General features: G+C 40.0%; 1 long non-coding RNA gene and 2 other non-coding genes across 3 annotated transcripts, besides 1 other annotated feature; 2 read left to right on the forward strand and 1 right to left on the reverse strand.

Moving 5' to 3' along the window:
* Positions 1 to 1,171: 1,171 nt before the first annotated feature.
* Positions 1,172 to 23,629, reverse strand: LOC105374991 (uncharacterized). Its single transcript, XR_926636.2, has 3 exons — positions 23,322 to 23,629; positions 9,001 to 9,182; positions 1,172 to 1,314 (listed from the first exon to the last, which is right to left on the reverse strand). It is a non-coding gene; the product is annotated as an uncharacterized LOC105374991 (long non-coding RNA).
* Positions 4,571 to 4,643, forward strand: TRM-CAT5-1 (tRNA-Met (anticodon CAT) 5-1). The gene has a single exon. It is a non-coding gene; the product is annotated as a tRNA-Met (tRNA).
* Positions 7,654 to 8,853: an enhancer, noted in NCBI's record as "MED14-independent group 3 enhancer chr6:26704795-26705994 (GRCh37/hg19 assembly coordinates)". NCBI's record gives its function as "activates an origin of replication core promoter dependent on BRD2, BRD4, P300/CBP and CDK7 cofactors, and independent of MED14, by STARR-seq in HCT116 cells {active_cell/tissue: HCT116}" and the evidence as "EXISTENCE:reporter gene assay evidence [ECO:0000049][PMID:35650434]".
* Positions 8,465 to 8,537, forward strand: TRNAA-AGC (transfer RNA alanine (anticodon AGC)). The gene has a single exon. It is a non-coding gene; the product is annotated as a tRNA-Ala (tRNA).
* Positions 23,630 to 23,899: the final 270 nt, after the last annotated feature.

Consider the following 23,899-nt stretch of genomic DNA (forward strand, 5'->3'; position numbering starts at 1 on the left):
CTGAATCAACCTAAGCGTCTATCAGCAGATGAATGGATAAAGAAAATATTACAACTGCACAATGAAATACTATTCAGTCTTTTAAAAAACAGAAATCCTGTCATTTTCGATGTCGATGAACCTGGAGGGCATTGTGTTAAGTGAAATAAGCCAGGCGCAGAAAGACAAATACTGCACGATCTCACTTAAATGTGAACTCTAAAAACGTCAAACTCATCAAAGCAGAGAGTAGAATGGTAGTTACCAGGGGCTAGGGGAGGAGATGGGAGGTAGGAATGGAATTAGAGAGATGTTTGTCAAAGGACACAAAATTTCAGTTAAACAGGAGGAATAAGGTCAGATCTACTGTGCCGTATGGTGACTACAGTTAATAATAAGTGTATTCTGTACTTTATAGTTGCTAAAAGAGTAGACTTAAGTGTTCCCATCACACACACACACTAAGTAATAGATACGTTAATTAGCTCGAGTTAACCATTCCACAATGTATGCATATATGAAAACATCATGTTGTACATCATAAATATATACATTTTGTACTTGTCAACTAAAAAAATTGTAAAAACCAGTATTTAATGCTCATCTCAAAATATAAAAAGCCTGTGATGCAAAGGGTTTCTATGGTGTAGTCGTTACCACGCTGGCCTAACACATGGAAGGTCCTCTATTTGAAACTCAACGGAAACAACAGGTTTCTCTGGTCTCCCAGAATCTGACCGGGAGTGGCCGCTTCTTCCCGGGAGTCCAGAGCTGCAAGGAACAAGTGATAATCCCGCCTCTTTTAAAAGAAAGATCGTCATCCTGGGATAGCTGTGCCAAATTAGCAGGCCGCTCTGGGCGGGCGCTCCCCAGCTGGGACGTGCTCGCTTCTCTCCCTGAAAATCTGGAACGTGAAATCTTACAGCACCAGACTTTTCCAGTGTCCACTTTCTCCTGGTTACGTTTTCCCCTCTCCCTCGCAGAGGAATAGCCATCATGCCCTTGCCCTTGGCCATTTTTGAGTAGACTCGCCTTAGGTCGAGTCCTGGTTCCCCACTAATAATCGAGACATTTCCTTTGTTCCGAGACGCAAGAAATGGTGGGTAGTCGCGCACATCTACTCCTGAATAAAGGAAAGGGCAGAAAGTTTTGCGGTAGGTGACGAGTGAGCGCAAGTGGTAGAGTACTCGCTTAGCATGTGAGAGGTAGTGGGATCGATGTTGTCACTTGGGGCCGCATGTCCATACAGTACAACGTGGAGAACGGCTTCATTAGTCACCTGTCGAAGAAAACGAGGAAGTACCAGCCATCTTGAATGCTTCACTGGTAAAAGACCTATGGGCATAAAGAAACAGTGCTAATAATAGCCCCTAAAACGTTCAGTGGACAGTACCCATTTTCTAAGTTGTTTTCTCTTTATTCAGAGGAAAGAGGAGATCCCAAGAGGGTGGGATATACCCAATTGTTCCTTTTCTCTCCTTCCTGCAGCTTGACCCAAAATGCCAAAATGCAGCACAGCTCTGGAAAATGCAGGGCAGAGCAGGATGAGTAAAACCCCAGCTTTCTTTCTGGTCAGGGCGCTGTAAAGTGGAGTTCCGAGTCACCGGGAAGTCCTGCTGAGAGTGTGGAAAGCAAACCCACAAGTGGTTTGTCAACTCACCGAGTGCACCCCTGAGTTGCGAATATGTAGCTGTAAAGAGCAAAACCAAATACAGAAAGCTTATTTTTTCCCAATTTAAAAACATGTTTTGTGATTCTACTTTAGACATCTTGAATAGGCAAATTCATGTAGACAGAAAGAATAGAGGTTGTTGGGGAGAGGGAAATGTGGAGTTATTGTTTAATGGGTACAGAGTTGCTGTTTGGGATGCTGAGAAACTTCTGGAAATGGGTAGTGGTGATAGTTGCTCACATTGTAAATGTACGTAATGCCACTAAATTGAACACTTAGAATTTTAAATGTAAAATGGGTTAAGTATATTTTACCACAATAAGAAAACACAAACTCTTGTTCATTCTGTAATTTAGCACATAGTCTCATCATCTGTTTTTCTCCACACCAGCTCATCTGTTCATCCTTCTATTCATTTGACAAATACTTAGAAATGTCTAGATTTATTGTTCCATTCATCAGACATTAATTCAGGATCTCTTGTGTGCCACAGTGTCAAGACTTCTCCCTCAAATGTTTACACCAATGTCTTGACAAATACCATAGATCTTTCCTGCACAGCCTCTCCAGAATGTTTTTCTTACCTTTCACTCATGTTTCTCTTGCCCATTCTACCACGTTTATGGAGGACGTAGTCTGCACCACAAAGTATAATGGGCACTGGAGCTACGGAAAGACTCATGCTGTTCACTTCAGAAGCTGACGGAATAAATGTGAATAAACCTCAATTCTTTAATCTATTTATAACTTCTTTCCATTTCTCTTCAATTACAGTCTTCCTGTTCCCAAGCTCTTTGACATCCAACACTAAACACCTTTTTCTTAAATGTTAATTTGGTTATGTAAGCTGTCTGCAATTTTTTCAAGGGTTCTTAAGTCTCAATGTTTTCCCAATCATTATCTCCATGTGCACAGGCATTTCAATCACTACTTCCTTTCATTTTATAAACAGGCACACACACAAGCAGGCACATATGCACTTGTGCACTACACATCCCAAGTGAACAGGCATGTTTCCTCACACAGGAATTCCTACATCTATGCCTGTTCCTTCAAACTCATGTGCATTCTTCCTCATCTGCATCCTTCAAGGTTCATATTTATCCCTTTACTACAAACTGATCTTTTAATCCCCATGGTTCTTGTCTGTAATACTTTTGTGATTTTTGCTGTTTTCTTATGTGATGTGAATATGTGAGTTCTATATGATGTAACTTAAAAAGACTTGAATATAAGTATGTGTATATATATATATATATAAATCTAACATAAATATATCCTATATATCTTAGAAATCTAAGATATATACATACCTTGAATATCTTAGATATATCTATCTTAGATTTAGGAAGTCTGAGGGTTTCCTCAGTGTAGTGTAGAGGTTATCTCACTCACTTGCCTAACACGAGATGAGGCCCTCAGATAGAAAGACAGATGTTATATAATTATAAAGCGTCTATTCACCGAAGGGACACAACTGTCCTAAATATGTCTGTTTCTGGCCACAGAGCTTCAAAACTTATGAACAAAATGGATAAACCAGAAAGAAAATAGAAAAATCCAATTACAGTTGCAGACGTTAACACTCCTCTCTCAGTAATTGATAGATTCAGGAGAAAACAAATCAGCAAACATTTTAGAGAACAGAACAACACCATCCACCAATGGATCTAATAGACTTTATAAAGCAAAATCACAATTTATGTAGAAAGGCGAGCCAAAAAAATCAAAGAAAAGCAAGATCATATTATAAGTAGGAAATCACGAATGGTCAGAGTGCAGAAAAGTGACATTATTGAAACTGATATTTCTGAAACAGTTACTTAAATAGCAGGAAGACCGATAACGGCGAATCTGTAAGTGAATCTTTCCTTGTCCATATGTATCCTGCTTTTTCTTGAGGTCTGGGCTGGCCAAATGTCTCCTGAAATTCCTGGGCCTACTACAGTGTCTGGCACAGAGCATCTCTCCAGCAAATATGTACTGAATGAGTAGAAAGGAACTGACGGATTCAGAAGAGACCTGCAAGAATAATGTTCAGTATTTGGCAAATCACTGAATGTGGTGTTTGAAGGAGGACAATGAGTCAAAGTTGACTTGGAAATCTAGGCCCAGGAGGAGGTTGAGAATTAGATATGTGGTATATGAATGAATGGACTACTGTGGAGAAAAACAGGCAGAGAGATAATGAGCAGGAGCAGAGAAAAGACTCACCTTTTGGAATCTAAAATAAATGTGCTTGTCAGTTCAGGCTTTGCCACCTAGCATCTCTGGCACCTTAGAAACAATAATTATCTGAGCCTCCAGTACATCTAGAAAGTGCACATTAGGATACATCGTTTTGTTAGCGAAATTCAACTGGACTACGTAAACGCAAGAAATCTCGTAGTATACTTAATAGCACACAAGAAAAAACAAAGGGGTAAAAAACAAAGAGGGTGCCATTATAAGTATTTTGTGTTTTTTTTTGTAGCGGCAATGTCTTCAGTCATGTAGATGCAAGTGGAGATATGAAGGAAGACAGTAGTATGATCAAGAGACAGGTTTGATGGCTATTTCTTCATTCATTTATCCAGGTGGTCAGTGAACTATCATGAACTGAGAACCTCCTGTCTCTTTTCAACAGAGGAGACTATGGAAAGTGTAAGAGTGACTAAGGTTTCTGAGGGAAGGAAAAGGGAAAAAGAGCAGCAAAAGACAGGTACAATTGATCCTGGTAACGCAGAACCCAGACGGTCCTATGAAATACTGGAAAGGCGTAGACTCCTCTGGTCGTGGGTATGGAATCTTCCTAGTGCAGCGTTGATTGATACAGAGTAATTTTCAAGTAGGATTGATTGTAGTTTTTGAAAGCTGAAACCGTAACGTAGGTGGGAAATACACTTCGACAAAATGGATGTTGCCCGAGCTCAACAGCAAGCCCTCTTAGCGCAGCTGGCAGCGCGTCAGTCTCATAATCTGAAGGTCCTGAGTTCAAGCCTCAGAGAGGGCATCACTTCTGCCAAAGAAGTTGGATACACTAAATATCGGAACGCAACGCAAATGCTATAGCAGATAAGGATTTGAAGACTGACCCAATATTTGTAGAAAATGGAAATATAATTTAGGTTTTCTTGTTTTTTCGACTTTCCAGTGGTTTGAGTAAAATGAGTGGTGAAAACAGAAGAGTAGATTACACCAGAAACTACAAGCTATGTCATATAATTGGTCTTTCTAGCTGACACAGGAAGCAGGGGAAATTTCTCTTCCAACTTCCCGCTCTCAGGGTCACCTCACACTAATTATTGGGTGGATGGGTGAAGTCATTTATTCTTTTAATCATCCAACAAATATTTCTTGAACACATATCTTGTTAAGAGACTGGGGTCAAGAGTGAATACAACGCAAACATTCCTACCACTGTGAAACTACATCCTACTTGGGAGGAGTGGGGTGAAAGTGTATTCAGCACAAATATTCCTACTATTGCGAAACTACATCATACTTGGGAGGAGTGGGGAGAAACAGACAGGAAACAATCAAAAATATGTAAGAAGTGATTTGACGATGTCTACTGTGAGGGAATCGCTAGGCAGTAAAGGGTTTGGGAATGTGGAGGTGGCACATTCAGCTTTCAGGAGGACAATCAGGGACTCTGTCACCTTGACAACTTTAGCCTTGCCTTCTTCTAGCCATCTTGCTGGAACACTTGTGCCCGTGTTTTTCTAACACTGTCATAAGAGTACTTTTACCTATCAAGGCAACTGGGGGTTAGGAGAGCTTTTTGCCCAGAAGGCTAGTTGGCTTCCTTGGAAAACTGATGATACATGAGGACTGGGGTTGTCAATCCCTCACATGTTTCTTCATATGAAAAATGAGGACTGTGGGATTCTCTGGCTGGATCTCAGCACCTAGAGATGGATCTGGGCAATAGGAACTGCTCAGTATTAGCTACCGCTTTGGTTGCCTTCTCCTTGTGGAAAGCTGGCCTCTCACACTGAATTTGTATCATAGGCACTCATGAGGGTCTTGACTACATCAATATCTGATGGGAGACTTTAGGGCAGTTCTGTTGTCGTAGCTGATTTGCTCATTTGGTAGCTAGCATCCAGCTTCTTGTGAACATTAAAATAAAATAAAATAAAATAATAAAATAAAATAAAATAAAATAGATTATGGAGGAATAGAATACAGATACATACTAAGGCATAATTTTCCAGACAAAATGGATTTGGATAAAAGAATCTAATTAAGAATTTGTGCATGGTTCTTTTAAAATTCCTTTGATTTTTTTTTTTTTTTTTGGCCTGTTTTTCAAGTGTCCAATTTTTGTCACCCTTCTCCCATCAGGTCAGAGAGATAGCCAATGGTCAGAAGCAATCTTCCAGCAACTGCCATAGCGCTTTCTCCTGCCTGCAGATGCCTCTTTTTAGTCAGCCTTTATGGGAAGTAGCAGCACCATCCGTTCCCAGAGAGCAAGCTCTGGAGTAGCTGAGCTAACCCCAGTTGCTAATCTGAGCTAATCCCAGTTACCCCAGTGGATTTACAGATTGAGGGTAGAACCCAGCAGGGTTCTCTTCTTGGAAAGAATAGGCTTCCCTCTAAGGTTTCACATAGATACTGGGTGAGGAAACAGCCCTAAATGGCTTCAGAAATTGAATGTTCTTTGGGCAAAGCAGGAAGCCCTGCTGTGGAAGAGCATCATTTGAGCATAAATCAGGTTATCAGGACAAACAGAGTGTTCAGGAGGTCTAGATGGTTAAGCAGAGAGCCTCATCAGAATATCCGTGGTGAAGAGAAACAATCTTGCTGGGAGAAGGATAACCGTAACTGGGGACTTAGAATAAAGGCTAAAAATGATTCAAAGAGAATGCAAAAAGAATCAGGCACAAATCTTTACTATATTCTGTTGTGCAAATCTCACCTTACTATGTGTTTATATTCTATTCCTCCACAATCTTTATTTTATTTTTATGTTCACAGAGACTTGCTGGTTCCAACTAAATGAGCACAACAGCCAGTGACAACAGAACTGCACTTAAATAGTCCCTCATCAGCTCTTGAGAGCAGATTCCTTAAAGGTGAACAATATTCCACATACAAGGACTTTTCAGCAGTATGCATTAGAAATGGAACTGAATGTTTATTATTCTTTATATAAGTTGGTTGATACGACTTTTCAGCTTCCCTCAGTAACATTATCTAAATTTTGTAGATGACAGTAAAGCTCAGAGGAGTTAAACCATTTTCCTCAAATCACGTAGCTTTAAACAGGAAAACCAGATATGAAAAGCAGATTTCTTTCTAAATTAAAAAACAAAAACAAAAAAACTTGAGCTCTTGCTTTACCCTAGCACATAGTCTCGCCATCTGTTTTCTCCACACCAGGTCATTCATGTAACATTCATTCACATAACAAATACAAATAAATGAGCGGATTCATTCATCAGATATTAATTCAGAATCTCTTTTGTGTCTACCACACTAGGCTCAAGACGTCCCAGTGTCTTTGTCTCCTCTCCCTCAAATCTCTCCACCCAATATCTTGACAAATAAAGTAGATCCTTCCTGTACAACGTCTCCAGAATCTTTTCTTCCTTTTCTTTCACCTCTGTCATCATTCATGCTACAGTGTTTACGGAGGATGTGTTCTGCAGCATGAAGTGTCGTGGGCACTAGCTCTGCAGAAAGACTTCTGCTGTCCACCTCAGGTGCTGACATGATAAATGTGGGTAAACCTCAATCCTTTAATATCTTTATGACTTCTTTCCCTTTCTCCCCAGTTCCTGTTTTCTCATGTTCAAGCTCTGACATTCAAAACTAAACACCTTTCTCTAACATGTTGCTTTAATTATTTAAGCATTCTGCCTGGGATATTTTCAGTTAGTCATGGGATTTTTCATAAAACTCTCCCAATATATCTCCAAGTGGCCAGGCTTTTCAATCACTGCTTCCCTCCATGTGTATTTCACACACACACACACACACACACACACACACTCTCCACTTAAATTGAACAGGTTTATTTCTTTACACAAGAATTCTTACAAACAGCCCGGTTTTCTCCACCATATGTCCACTCCTTCTCTGCATAGCTCAATTTTGATTCTTACACTATATTTTACATATTCTTACACTCTGATACGATCTTGTCTCTTATTCTTTATGGCTCTGCTCTGTAATTTTGTTGTTGTTGTTCTGAAATATAGTTGGACATGTAACTTGTACATGACACACCTTAGCAAGGAGGCAACTCATATCTCAGATGTAAGTGAAAGAAGCACTCTCCAGGGGTTTCCTATGGGAGTGGTCAGCACGCTGGCCTCATTGGTGGAATGGCCTAGTTACGAAAACAGCAGGAGCTTTTTGCCTTCCAGAAATCTGGACCATCTCACAACCCCCAGACAGTCTCAGCTACAAGGAAAAGTGATAATTCCATCCCACTTTTATAAACACACACAAACACACACACACACACACACACACACACACACACACAATCATTTAATCATTTTTAATCATTTAATCATTTTTTTAAAATCTCTGACACTTTAGCTGGGCAGGTCTAGACATGTCCTCCTTTGCTGGGATGTGCCTTTTTCTGTCCCGGAATACCCTAAACTTGACATTTTGGCAGCACGAGTTTTCCCTTTGTGACTTTCTCCTTGTTCCCTTTCTCCTCCTTCTTTGCAGAGAATGAGTAGCCACTGCGCCTTGCCCTGGGCCATCAGTGAGAAGACCTGCTCTTAGTAGAGCCCTGCTTTCCCGCTGAAGGCCTTGAAATCCCCTGTGTTCCAGGACACCCACTAAAGATCAAGAAAGCTCCCCTGACGTGGGGAATTAGCTCAAGCGGTAGAGCGCTTGCTTAGCATGCAAGAGGTAGTGGGATCGATGCCCACATTCTCCAAGCTTTATTATTTGGACCTTGGGTCTCCAAACACTCAAGTATCCAAACCCAAGTTAGTGTCTGAGAGCAGGATGCTGCTTTGGTTCAAGACATAGGAGCAGCAACAATACAGGCCTGGTGATGGCTCCCTCCTGGCATTCAGTATAGTGTAGATCTACTGTGTAATTCATTTGCTGTTTCCTCAAGGAGCTGTGAAACCAAGGGACATATACAACTGCTCTTTTCTCCCTGTTTCTGCCTGCAGCTTGGTCCTAAACCTCAGACAATCGTGAAATGTGCAGGGCAGAGCCACCTGGGTAAACACAGCCTCGGCTTTCTGCTCAGGGGACTGAAACCAGGATGTGTCAAGTAACTAGAATGTGCCTGGACAGATACTGTAGAAAGCAAACCCATAAAGTTGTTCATGAGCTTGTGGACACACCTGCCAGCTGTGAATAAGTGGCTCTAATCCCAAACAACTTACCTACAAAGAGCCTGAGAGCTGAACTGCGCAATGGCCCACTTTCCAGTCCTCACTGAAGTTGCACACACTCCGGAAATCTCTGAACAGTGGCGTAAAGGCTTTGCAAATAGAGTTATCTTTGAAACAACAACACGTGGAAGGCTGGTTGGTACTTGGAACTTGAATACAAGGCAATTTTGTGCCTGCAAAAACAAAAATAGCAATATTATTCTTAAGATTTCAACAAAACACAGTGTCTCATCACATAATCCAAAGAAGTCCAGGTTACAAGCCCCAAAATCTTCGGCATTATGAAAAAAACAGGGAGATCTTCATTCACATGGCAAAGAGACTCCTCGAATAACAATACTGAGAGGACACAGATGTCAAAATCATCTGACGCATACAGTGGAGCAGTTATGATAACAATGCTCCTAGAATTAGGGGATAACATTCGTGAAGTGAATGGAAAGTTGGAAAGTCTCAGCAAATATCTGGAATATATAAACACCAATTTTAAGCTTAAGAATTTAAAAAAATGTATTAACCAAAACTCTTAGGGGAAATAAAAAGCTTAACTGGATGATCTCGATAACAGAATGCAGATGACTAAGAAAAAGTCAACGAACTTGAAAACAGAACAAGAATACCTACATAATCTGAGCTATAGAGAGAAAGGAGTATTTCTGTAAATGAACAGAGGCTCAGGGACAAATTAAAAAATAGCAAATCTAACATTCACATTATTGTAATCTGAAAAGAAGAGGACAAAGAGGTCTTTGTGGGATAAAACTTTGAAGAATTAATGGCTGAAAATGTATCAAATTTGTCAAAAGATATAAACCAGGTTTTTAAAGTTCAGCAAAGGTCAAGCAGGATAAACCCAAAGAAACCCAACCCATTTCAAGACGTATCATAATCAAACTGCTGAAAACGAGGAAAGTACAAAACAATCTTGAAAGCAGTCAAAGGAAAATGAAAAAGAAACTACCATATGAATGAGTGTAGATTTCTCATCAGGAACCATAGCGGCCAGAAAAAAATGTCATAATGTTCAGTAAGTAACAAAAGAAAAAGACCTATCAACCCAGAATGCTATGTGGAGCAAAAGTATCTTTCAGACATAAAGGCAAATAAATGCATTCTCATTGGAAGGTAAGTCAATACATTCTCATTCTTAGCAAGAATGCTGGAAAAGAATTAGCAAAGATTTGAGATAAGAAAAGTGATACCAGAAGGAAACTTAGAACATCGTCAATGAAGGAACGAAAGCAGAAATAGAAAATGTCTGGGTAGACATAACAGACTGTTCTTCTTCTCCTGAGTTCCTTAAGGTATGTTTGATGATTGAAAGCCAAAATTGTAACTTTATCAGAAGCAGTTGTCATTGTATCGAGATGTACTACATAGATAAGATAAAAGGGTAAGTGTAATGGGCCTAACTCTTGATGAAGTTTCTATATTCAACTTGAATGGTAAAATATTGATTCTAAGTATACTGTGAAAAGTTATATACGTATATGGTAATCCCTAGACCACTTACTAACCAGATTGAAATAAACCAAAACAAGATAGACAGAGGAACATAGAAGAATTAAAACAAAGGGAACAAAGGTTAATACATTATTAAATAGATCTATCTAAAAACTTATCTATATTAACATTACACGTAAATGATCTAAATCCTTAATTAAAAACTAGAGATCATCAGAATGTATTAAAAGTAAATATGCTGACTGTAAGAAAGCCACCTGCAATACACTTATATATCAGAATAAAAGTTATATAGCAGATTGAAGGAAAAGAGTGGGAAAGATACCTCATGCAAGCATTAATCAAAGACAGCTGTGGTGTATACATTAAAATCAGACAAAGTAGATTTGAAAGCAGAGAAACTTTTCAGGAATAATGAAGGCTGCTAGATAATTACGAATGTCCATTCTCCAGGGAATACTGTTCCAAATGTATATGAGGACACAGATTTTCAAAACTCATAAACAAAATTAGATAAGCCAGGTAAAAATAGAAATATCCAATTTTAGTTGAAGACACTAAAACTCCTCTCTCAGTCATTGGTAGACTTAGTAGACAACAAATCAGCCAACATATTGGAGAACTGAACCACACCATCCACCAATGGATCTGATCAACTTCATAACGCAAAATAAAAATTTAGCCAGAAAGCAAAGACAAAAATTAAAAGAAAAGTAAGATCATGTTATAACCAGGAAATTAAGAGTGGTCCATCATATAGAAGGGTGCTATTATTGAAAGAGTTTGAAATAGTGACTTAGTTATTTTGAAAGAGTTTTGAAGGCATTATTTAGCTGGAAATGACAGAAAGACTGAAAATGGTGAATCTGGAGGTGGATCTTCCCTCATCTATATTTATCTTGTTTTCTTTTGAGGTCTAGGGTGTCTATACTTCCTCTGAATTACCTGATCCTACTACAGTGTCTGGCACAGAGCATCTCCCCAGTGAATATGTACTAAATGAGTGGAAAGTAATTGATAGATTCAAAAGAGTTGTGCAAGAATAATGTTCATTATTTGGCAAATCATTGAATGTGGTGTTTGATGGAAGACAATGAATCAAAGTTGACTTGAAAGGTAAGCCCAAGGCCAGACGTGGTGGCTCATTTCTGTAATCCCAGCACTTTGGGAGGCCGAGGTGGGCAGATCCCTTGACGCCAGGAGTTTGAGACCAGCCTGGGCAACCCAGTGAAATCCTGTCTCTACAAAAAAAAACAAAAATTAGCCGGGTGTGGTGGTATGCATCTGTAGTTCCAGCTACTCAGGAGGCTGAGGTGGGAGCATCACTGGAACCCGGGAGGCGGAGGTTGCAGTGAACAGAGATCACACCAGTGCCCTGGCAGTAAAGTGACACCTTGTCTTAAAATGAAATGAAATGAAATGAAATAAAATAAAATAAAATAAATAAAATAAAATAAAATAAAATAAAATAAAATATAAAAGTTAAGCCCAGGCCGGGCGCAGTGGCTCGCACCTGTAATCCCAGCACTTTGGGAGACCAAGGCAGGCAGATCACCTGAGGTCAGGAGTTTGAGACCAGCCTGGCCAACATGGTGGAACCCCGTCTCTACTAAAAATTCAAAAACTAGCGGGGCACCTGTAGTCCTAGCTACTCGGGAGGCTGAGGCAGAAGAATCACTTGAACCCAGGAGGCAGAGGTTGCAGTGAGCCAAGATTGTGCCACTACACTGCAGCCTGGGCAACAGAGTGAGACTCCAACTCAAAAAAATTTTTAAAAAAAATTTTTAAAAAGTTAAGCCCAAAAGGTAAGTAAAGAGGAGGTCTGGAATTAGATATTTGGTGTATGAGTGAATGAGCTAAAGTGCAAAAGAATGGGCAGAATAACCGTGAGCTGGAGCAGAGGGAAAAAAATCACATGCAAAATCTAAAAATATCTGCTTCTCAATTCGGGCTTTCCCACTTAGCAGCTTTGGCATTTAAAAAAAAAAAAAAAAAAAAAAAAACACTTGACCGGGCACGGTGGCTCACGCCTGTAATCCCAGCACTTTGGGAGGCCGAGGCGGGCGGATCAGGAGGTCAAGAGATAGAGACCATTCTGGCTAACACGGTGAAACCCTGTCTCTACTGAAAAAATACAAAAAAATTAGCCGGGCATGGTGGCGGGTGCCTGTAGTCCCAGCTACTCGGGAGGCTGAGGCAGGAGAATGGCCTGAACCTGGGAGGCGGAGCTTGCAGTGAGCCCAGATCGGGCCACTGCACTCCAGCCTGGGAGACAGAGCGAGACTCCGTCTCACAGAACAAACAAACAACAAACAACAACAACAAAAACGCACTTAGCCTATCTGATTCTCTATTACTTCTAAAAAGTGCATACTAAGGCATAATTTTGTTGGCAAAAGTCAATCAGACTACATCAAGTAAACTCCCTAAGTCTCCTAGTATAATTCACGGCACAAAAATATGAGGAAAAACAGGGAGGATATGATTAAAAGTTTAGTTTGTATTTTTTGTTGAATGAATGTCTCCAGTCATAGAGATGCAAGTGTAGATACACAGTAAGAGTAGTATGAATGGCAGACACCTTGGAAGGCTATTTCTTCCTTCATTCATTCAGTTGGTCACTCAATGAACTATCATGAATTGAGCACTACCTCTGTTTCTTATCAACAAAGGAGACTACGGAAAGGAAGAATGACTAAGATCTCTGAAGAAGGGAAAAGCTAGATGACTGGGCCACAAGAGGAAAAAAAGCAGCAAGACAGGTACAATTGTGTCTAGTCCCTCAAGCCAGAAGGTCCTATCATTATGTGAATACTGGAAACGGGTGGACTCCACCTGTCCTGAGTGGGGAATTCTTCCAGTGCAGCATTGACTGATAAGGAGTGATTTCCAAGTAGCATTGATTGTGTTCTTTAAAAGCTAGGAATTGATAAAGCAGCAGTGCGTGGGAAATGAGATTTAATAATCTGGATGTCACCTCTTAGGAACAGTTGCTCTCTTAGAGCAGCAGGCCACCTGTCAATCTCGTATTCTGAAGGTCCTGAGTTTGAACATGAGACAAGGCACAGCTTATGCCGCTATTTCCATTAAGAGAAATGAAATAGGTGTGATAAATAATGGAACACAAATGCTATGAGATAATGATTTCAAGACAGACCAAATATTAGCTTAAAATTTAAAAGTGAGTTTTCTTTTCTTTTCTTTCTTTCTTTTTCTCTTTCTTTCTTTCTTTCTTTCTTTCTTTCTTTCTTTCTTTCTTTCTTTCTTTCTTCCTTGCTTCCTTCCTTCCTTCTTTCCTTCCTTCCTTCCTTCCTTCTTTCCTTTCCTTTCTCTGTCTGTCTTTATTTATTTTTTCCTTCTTTTGGCTTCTCAGTCGCTTGAGTACAAGGCGTGGTGAAGGCATATAAATTACACCAGAAACTGCAAGCTATGTCTTATGTCTACCTCTCTAGCTGACAGGGGAGGCAGGGGAAATTTCTCTTCCAATTGCCTGCTCTGAAGGTCATCCAAACATAATTATGGGGTGGGGTGGGTAAAGTCTTTTATTCTTTTAATCGTCCAACCGATAGTTCTCAACACATATCTTGTTAAGAGACTGTTTTGGGTATAGCAATTCGCAGTGAATAAAATACAGATATTCTCACCTTTGTGATACTACGTCAATGTTGGGGGGAGTGGGGAGAAAGAGACAGAAGCAAAAAAGAAAAATAAACAAGAAGTCATGTGATATTATCTACTGGGAGGGAGTCATTAGGCAGTAAAGGACTCGGCAGTGTGGAGGTGACACATTCACTTTTCAGGAGAAGAATCAGGGAAGTTGTCACCTTGAAGATATCATTTAGCTTCCCTTTCTTCCAATAGTCTTTCTTTACATGGGAAATGAGGACTCTAGGATTCTCCGGCTGGATCTCAGCACCTAGAGATGGATCTGGGCAATAGGAACTGCTCAGTAAGCATTACCTACTGCTTTGGTTGCCTTCTCCCTGGCCTCTTGGATTGAGCTTGCATCATACGTGTTCAGTAGGAACTTGCTTAGTGGATTTACAGGTTGAGGTTAGAACTCACCGGGATTCTCTTCCTGGAGAGAACAGGCTTCCCTCTAAGGTTTCATATAGACCCCGGGTGAGGAAAGAGCCCTAAATGGCTTGAAAAATTGAATGCTCTTTGGGCAAAGCAAGAAGCGCCACTATGGAAGGGCATCATTTGGGCCTATATCAGGGTCTCAGTACAAAGATGAGTGCTCACGTGGTCAAGATGGTTAAGCAGAGAATCTGACCAGAATGTTCACGGTGCAAAGAAATAATCTTGTTGGGAGAAGGATCACAACAATTGGGGAATTAGAATACAGGCTAAATGAGACTCAAAAATAATACAACAAGAATCAGGCACAAATCCTTTACTACTACATTCTTTTGTACAAATCCATTTTGCCTAGAAAATCATACCTTACTATGCATCCCTATTGTGTTTCTCCACCATCTATTTTACTTTTTAAACTTTATTTCATTTTTATCATCACAGAAGCTTATTGCTACAAAACAAATGAGCAAATCAGCCAATGGCAACAAAACTGCACTGATCTCTCTCCTTAGACCTTCAGAACATTTTCCTTAAAGGTGAACAATACTCCACGTTCAAGAATTTTTCAGCTCTATGTGCTAGAAACTATACTGACTGTTTATTAATTTTTATGTAAGTTGGTCGATATAGTTTTTCAGCTTCCCCAAGTATTATTACCCTAGTGTTACAGATGACACTGAAGCTCAGAGCAGTTAAACCATTTTCCTTAGATCACATAACTTTAAAGAGGGAAACCAGATATGAGAAGCAGATTTCTTTCTCAATGAAAAAAATCACAAGCTCTTCTTGCTTTAGTCTAGCACATAGTCTTATCATCTATTTTCTTCACACCAGCTCACTCATGTAACATTCATTCATTTACCAAATACAGATAAATGAGTGGATTTATTCTTGCATCGATCAGATATGAATTCAAAATCTCTTCTGTGTCTGCCACACCGGGCTCAAGACTTGCCAGTGCCTTTGTCTCCTCTCCCTCAAATCTCTCCACCCAATGTCTTGACAAATACTGTAGATCCTTCCTGCATAAACTCTGCAGAATCTTTTTCTTCTGTTTTACTCACCTCCTTCTTTATCCATGCTATGATGTTCATGGAGGATGTTTTCTTCACCATGAAGTGTGAAGGGGATTGAAGCTGCAGAAAGACTCATGCTGTTCACCTCAGGAACTGACACAGTCAATGTGGATAAATCTCAATCCTTTAATATCTTTATGACTTCTTTCTCTTTCTCCCCAGATCCAGTTTTTCCATTTTCAAGTTCTTTGACATTTAAAACTAAAAACCTTTCCCTAAAATGCTGCTTTTCTACCTGGAATTTTTTCAATGAGTCTTTAGCTTTTATAATATTCTCCCAACATATCTCCAAGCATCCAGGCTTTTCAATCACTACTTCCCTCCGTGTATATTTTACACACACACACACACACACACACACACACACACTCCACTTAAATTGAACAGGCATATTTCTTTACACAGGAATTCCTACAAACATTCCACCCTATACCTACCCTAGGTTTTCTCCACCCTATGTCCACTCTTTCTCTGCATTGCTGAATGTGTTTTCTTTATTCTTTCACTCTGATATGATCTTTGTCTCTTATTCTTTATGCCTCTTATCTGCATTTTTTTGTTATTATTGTTCTGCCATGCAGTTGGATATGTAACTTTTACATGACACACCTTAGCAAGAAGACAACACATGTCTCAGATGTAAGTAAGAAAAACACTCTCCAGGGATTTCCTGGTGTAGTGCTCAGCACCCTGGCCTCATTCCTGAAAGTCCCTCGGTGTGGAAAAAGCAGGAGCTCTTTGCCTTCCAGAAATCTGCATCATCCCACAGCCTCAGCTACAAGAAACAAGTGACAATGCCATCTCTTTTCTTTTAAAAAAATCATTTAAGCTTCCTGAGATATCTGTGACACATTAGCTGGGCAGGGTCCTTCTGTGGGACATGTCATTTTCCGTCTCGGAATATGTGAAACTTGACATTTTGGCAACACCAGAGTTTTCCCTTTGTGACTTTCTCCTTGTTCCCTTTTCTCCTCCCTCCTCACAGAGAATAAGTACCCACTGCACTCTTGCCCTGGGCCATCAATGAGAAGATCTGCTCTTAGTGGAGCCCTGCTTTCGCGGTGAAGGCCTTGAAGTCGCGTGTGTTCTAGACTGCCCACTAAGGATGAAAAAAGATGCTGTGAGATGAAGAAGTAGCTCAAGTGGTGGAGTGCTCGCTTAGCATGTGAGAGGTAGTGGGATTGATGCCCACATTCTCCAGGTTTCACTAGTCGGACCTCAGGTCTCCAGGTTACAGTGGAAAAAAATATGTGTTAGACACTGATCTCAGAAAACAGTAAGTTAGACACTCATCTCAGTAGCAGCCTGGACACTTCTTTGGCTCATTATGTAAGGGCAGCAACAATACGGGCTTGACTAAGATTCTACTGGTATGTGGTATAGTATAGATCTATCGATGTGTAATTAGTTTTCTGTTTCTTTGAGGAGCTGTGATACAAAGGGACATATCCAGTTGCACTTATTCTCCCTGTTTCCTCCTGCAGCTTGGTCCTAAATGCAGCATAATTATGGAAAGCGCAGGGCAGAGCCACTCAGGTAAATACAGCCCCAGCTTTCTGATCGGGAGACCGAAACTAGGAGTTGCCAAGTAACCAGGAAAGACACTGTGGAGAGCAAACCTGTCAAGTTGTATGTGAACTCCTGGATGCGCCTGTGAGCTGTGAATAAGTGGCTCTGATCAAAGACAACTTATCTAAAAAGAGCCTGAGAATCGAACTAAGTGATAGCCTACTTTCCAGTCCTCACTGGCCACTGGGTTGCACATACTCCAGAGTCTCTGAATAGCAGTGTTAAGGCTTTGAAAATAGAATCGACTTTGAAACTACAACACACAAGGCTGGCTGGTTATTGGAACTTGAACACAAGGCAATCACATGCCTGCAAAAACAAAAATAGCAATATTATCCTTAAGATTTCAACAAGACACAGTGTCTCATCACATAATGCAAAGTACAACCCCAAAATATTCAGCATATGAAGAACCAGGGCAATCTTAATTCACTTGGCAAAGAGAATCCTCGAATAACAATACTGAGAAGACACAGATGTTACAATCATCTGACACATACTTTTAAGCAGTTATTACAACAATGCTCCATGAATGAAAGGATAACACTCTTGAAGTGAATGGAAAGTTGGGAAGTCTTAGCAAGTATCTGGAAGCTCTAAACACTGATTTTAAACTTAAAAATTAAAAAATGTATTCATCAAAACTATTAGGAGAAAAAAAACTTCAATGGGTTATTTCAATAACAAAATTGAGACACTCAGAATAAAGTCAATGAACTTGAAAACAGAACAAAAATACCAACCTAACCTGAACAATAGAGAAAAAGGAGTGCTTTTGCAAATGAACAGAGCCTCCCGGACAAACAGAAAAATAAGAAAAATCTAACACATCATTGTAATCCTGCAGGAAGAAGAGAAAGAGGTCCTCCAGAAAGAAAACTCCGAAGAATTAATGGCTGAAAACATATCAAATTTATCAAAACACTTTAGAAGTTCAATAAATGTCAAGTAGGTTAAACCCAAAGAAATCCATACCCAGACACATCATAATCAAACTGCTGAAAACTAAGGAAAACCATAAAAATCTTGAAGGCAGCCAAATGAAAATAAAAGGGAAACTGCCACTTGAATGACTGTGGACTTCTCATCAGAAACCATAGGGGCCCAAGGAAACATTTACTAAATACCAAAAGAAAAGACCTGTCAACCCAGAATGCTATGTAGAGCAAAAATATCTTTCAGACTAAAGGTAAATAAATACATTCTCACAGGAAGGTAAACTGAGAGAATTCATTGCTGGTAGAACTGCTGGACAAGAATTAGCAACGATTTAAGATGAGAAAAATGATACCAGAAAGAGACAGGACACCATCAGTGAAGGAACGAAAGCCGAAATAGAAAATGTCTGGGTAGACATTACAGACTATTATTCTTCTCTTGAGTTCCTTAAGGTATGTTTCATGATTGAAAGCAAAAATTGTAACTTTATCTGATGCAGTTGCCATTGTATCTAGATGTGCTACATACATAACATAAAAGGGTAAAGGTAAAGGGCCTAACTGCTGATGAAGTTTCTATATTCAACTTGAATGGTAAAATATTGATTCTACGTATACTGTGAAAGGTTATATATGTATATGGTGATCCCTAGACCACTTAGGAACCAGATTTAAATAAACCAAAATAAACTAGGAAGAAGAACATAGAAGAATTAAGACAAGGGGAACAAATGATTAATAAATTATTAAAAAGTAGATCTATCGGCTGGGCACGGCGTCTCACGCCTGTAATCCCAGCACTTTGGGAGGCCGAGGTGGCTGGATCACCTGATGTCAGGAGTTTGAGACCAGCCTGGCCAGCATGGTGAAACCCTGTCTCTACTAAAAATACAAAAAATTAGCCAGGCATGAAGCCGGGTGCCTGTAATCCCAGCTACTTGGGAGGCTGAGACAGGAGAATCACTTGAACCTGGGAGGCAGAGGTTGCAGTGAGGGGAGATTGCACCATGGCACTCCAGCCTGGGTGGCAAGAGCAAGACTCCATCTCAGAAAGAAAAACAATAGATCTACCTAAAAACTTATCTATAAAAACATTAAATGTAAATGATCTAAAACAATGAATTGAAAACCAGAAATTGTCAGAATGTATTATAAATGAATATGCTGACTACAGGAAAGTCACTAGTAATATACTTATATGTGAGATTAAAAGTTATATAGCATATTGAAAGTAAAGAATGGGAAAAGATATGTCATTTAGGCATTACTCAAAGAAAGCTGTGGTGGATATATTCAAATCAGACAAACCAGATTTTAAATTGTAGAAAACTTCCAGGGATAAAGGGGGCTGTTACATAATTAGAGGTGCCAACACACCAGAGAAATAATGTCCCAAATGCATATAAGGACACAGGGCTTCAAAACTCGTAAGCAAAATTGGATAATCCAGATAAAAATAGAAAAATCCAATTACATTTGCAGACGTTAACAGTCCCCTCTCAGTAACTGATAGATCCAGTAGACAATAAATCAGTAAACACATTTGAGACCCGAACAACATCCATACAGCAATGGATCTAATCAATCAACTTTCTACAGCAAAATCACAATTTGGGTAGAAAGAAGAGAAAAAAAATAAAAGAAAAACAAGATCATGCTATAACTAGGAAATCAGGAATGTTCAGGGTGCAAAAGAGTGATATATTGAAACTGACATTTTTGAAAGGGTTATTTAGCTGTAAATGACATGACACGGAGACTGAAATCGTAAAACTGGACGTGGATCTTCCCTTCTCCATATTTGTCCTGCCTTCTCTTGAGGTCTGGGCTGCTTGAATCTTTAGAATCTCCTGAACTTACCACAGTGTCTGGCACAGAGCATCTTCCCTGTGAATGTGTACTGAATCAATGGAAAGGAATTGACAGGTTCAAAAATGTTGTGCAGGAATAATGTTTACTATTTCACAAATCACTGGATGTGGTGTTTGAAGGAGAAAAATGTGTCAAAAGTTGACTTGGAAACAAAGCCCAAAAGGTAAGTGAAGGGGATTTGGGGAATGAGATATTTGGTGTGTGAATGAATGGGGTGCTGTGGAGAGGAGTAGGGAGTAAGATTGTGAACTGGAGCAGAGAAAGAATCACGTTTTAAAATCTAAAACATCTTCTCCTCAGTTCAAGCTTTGACACTTAGCAGCTCTGGCACCTTGGAAACAAAACTTATCTGAGGTTCCATTACTTCTAGAAAGTCCAGATTAGGACACATAGTTTTGTTGGTGAAACTCTGTTGGACTACATGAAGTAAATTCAATAAATCTCTTAGTATAATTAATGGCATACAAGATTTGCTTTACACTTTTTGTAGCAGGATTGTCTCCAGTCGTGTAGATGCAAGAGGAGATAGAGAGTAAGACACAGTAGTATGGACAGGAGACACCTTTAAAGACTATTTTTTCATTCCTTCATTCGTTCAGTTGGTCAGTCAGTGAACTATTATGGACTGAACATGTCCTGTGTGTCTTTTCAAAAAAGGACACCATAGGAGGTGTAAGAGTGATTAAGATCTCTGAAGGAGGGAGAAGTCAGATCACTGGGCCACAAGAGGGAAAAAGTCAGCAAAACAGGTACAATTGTTCTTGGCCTCTTGCCTCAAGATGGTCGTCTTGTTAGATGAATACTAGAAATGGGTAGATTCCACCTGTCCTGAGGATAAAATTCTTTGGGTGCAGGATTGGCTGATAAAGAGTGATTTCCAAGCACCATTGATTGTGTTCTTTGAAAGTTAGGAACTGATAAAGCAGCAGTGCTTGGGAAAATAGCACGTGGGATGTCAATTCTTGGGTGAGAACCGCCCTCTTTCTGCAGCAGGCCACACATCAATCTCATAATCTAAAGGTTTTGAGTTTGAACATCAGAGAGGATACAGTTTTTGCTGCTATTTCAGTTGAGGGAAACAAAATGGGTGCACTAAATAATGAAATGCAAATGCTATGAGATAACAGTTTGAAGACTGACTCAACATTAGCTTAGAATGGAAAAGTGATTTCGGTTTTTTGGAGTTTTTTTGTTGTTGTTTGTTTGTTTTTTGGCTTGTCAGTGGTTTGAGTAAAATGAGTGGTAAAGGGATATAGATTACAGAAGAAACTGCAAGCTATATCATATAATTGGTCTTTCTCACTAGCTGATGGAAGAAACAGGAAATTTTTTGTCGAGCTTTCTGCTCTCAAGGTTACCCAATTGTAATTATGAGGTGAGTGGGTGAAGTCATTTATTCTTTTATCCTACATGTATTTCTCGAGCACGTATCTTGTTAAGAGACTGTTCGGGGTACAGCCATTCAACAGTGAAAAAACGCATATATTCTTCACCTTTGCGAAGCTAGTTTCTAGTTGATAGGGGTGAAGAGAAACAGATCAGAAGCAAACAAGAAAAATACATAAGATGTTATGTGACAACGTCTACTGGGAAGGAACCCACAGGCAGTAAGGGACTTGGGAGTGTGGAGATGGCCCATTCAGAAGCTTTTAGGAGCGGAATCTGAGAAGTTGTCACCTTGAAGACATCCTTTACCCACCCTCCACCCCCTCCCCACTCCCCACTCCTGCTCCTTCCTTCAATCATCTTTCTTCACGTAGGAAATGAGGACTGTGGGATTCTCTGGCTGGATCCCAGCACCTAGAGAGGGATCTGATCAATAAGAACTGCTCAGTAAGCATTACCTATTGCTTTGGTTGCCTTCCCCTTGCAGAGTGCTGGCCTCTTGGATTGAGCTTGCATCATAGGTGTTCAGTAGGAGCTTGCTTAGTGGATTTACAGGTTGAGGTTAGAACCCACCGGGATTCTCTTCCTGGAAAGAACAGGCTTCCCTCTAAGGTTTCACATAGACCCCGAGTGAGGAAAGAGCCCTAAATTGCTTGAAAAATTGATTGCTCTTTGGGCAAAACAAGAAACCCTCCTATGGAAGGGCATCATTTGGGCATATATCGGGGTCTCAGTACAAAGATGAGTGCTCAAGAGGTCAAGATGCTTAAGCAGAGAATTTCACCAGAATGTTCGTGGTACAGAGAAACAGTCTTGTTGGGAGAAGGATGACAATTGAGGCCTTGGAATATAAGCTAAATAAGCTTCAAAGGGGATACAAAAAAGAATCAGGCACAAATCCTTTACTACATTATTTTGTACAGCTCAATTTTTGCCTAGAAAATCATACCTTACTTTGCATCCCTATTGTGTTCCTCCACCATCTATTTTGTTTTTTTAAGCGTTATTTCATTTTTATGTTCACAGAAGCTTGTTGCTACAACTAAATGAGCAAAACAGCCAGTAGCAACAGAAATGCGTTACTATCTCTCCTCAGACCTTGAAAGCATTTTCCTTAAAGGTGAACAATATTCCACATACAAGGAGGTTTTCAGCACTATGTGCTAGAAATTATACTGAATGTTTCTTAATTTTTACGTAAGTCGGTCAATATAGTTTTTCAGCTTCCCCAAGTATTATTACCCCAGTGTTATAAATGACACTGAAGTAAAGGGCATATCACTCTCTTTATTCTGTGTAGGTGTGTCTGCTTACAGCTAAGGATTTCCTAAATTATAGTTTTGTAAACATTAGTTCTAAATCATTGTGATCACTTGAATTTTGAAAATGTCAAAACCAATCACATTAATGTAATAGAAAATAGAGGTTTGAGGTGCATTGGCTCGCTGTTTTATTTACTATGGATCAGTGGAGTAGAAATTCCCATCGCGGAAGAGGGTTCATTCCTGTCTCTCAGCCTCAGCAAAGTTAAACATTTCAGACCTTGCCTGACTTTGGATCTATTGCGCATGCTCTGTCCTTTACCACTATCCAGTCCTGGGGGGCATATAGAGCCACTCAGAGCCTTAGAGGTACGTTCAGTGAAATGGAGCCAATCACCATATAGTGTAGCCTATTGTTCGTCTGACCAAAATGCACTATGTTGCGATAGCATGGATTCTACAGACCCGTGAAGCCCATTTGGACCACAAGACACTCTTTCCATCATGCCTGCACACCTATCCTTCACTCTTCATTGGCTCATGCAGACTTTTGAAAGTATTTAGCAATAAGCATCCTACCCCCAAGAAGCTTATGGTCTCATGGAGAAGATGGCCAAGCAACAGACAATCCCAACATGGTGAATGCCGCTAAAACAAATGCGTACCTGGATCTCCGTGAGTGCTAGGAGGAAAGCAACCCAAACTCAGAAAAGTAGGAGAGGTGTCAGGGAAGACATTTTCCAGAAGATGGTTTCGTGTCTAACAAAGCCGTGAGACGAGCAAAGAGGAGGTGAAAGGCTCAGCGTTCTATGGGGACATTTCCTTAAGTCCAGTATCTCTAGAGTTGAGTGAGGGAAGCTAAAAGAGAGGAAATAGAAATGAAAAATGGGAGTTCTTGAGAGGCTTTACTTACCCTGCACAAGCCAAGGACAGGTCTGCGGGAAGTAAGCAGATGCACAGTTAGGAAAGCCCATATCAGGAGTTAGTCACGACAGAGAAAGATTTGTACACTTTGGAAATCGTAAAAGAATGAAAAGCCCAGGTCCTTATTTCCCTGTTTTCGTCTCTGTTTTTCACGTTCCTCCCGGATTTCAATTTCTTTCTGGAATCTTAGCTCTCTTCGTCATCTGCTCTTGCAGGAACACTGAACTGCAAACGCAACCCTACGATTCAGCGAACTACGTCCTATCAAGGTTACTGGGTACAAATACATTTACTTTCGTGAGTTCTCTTGTGACTTTCT

Source organism: Homo sapiens, chromosome 6, assembly GCF_000001405.40.
Source record: "Homo sapiens chromosome 6, GRCh38.p14 Primary Assembly".
NCBI classification, from domain to species: domain Eukaryota; kingdom Metazoa; phylum Chordata; class Mammalia; order Primates; family Hominidae; genus Homo; species Homo sapiens.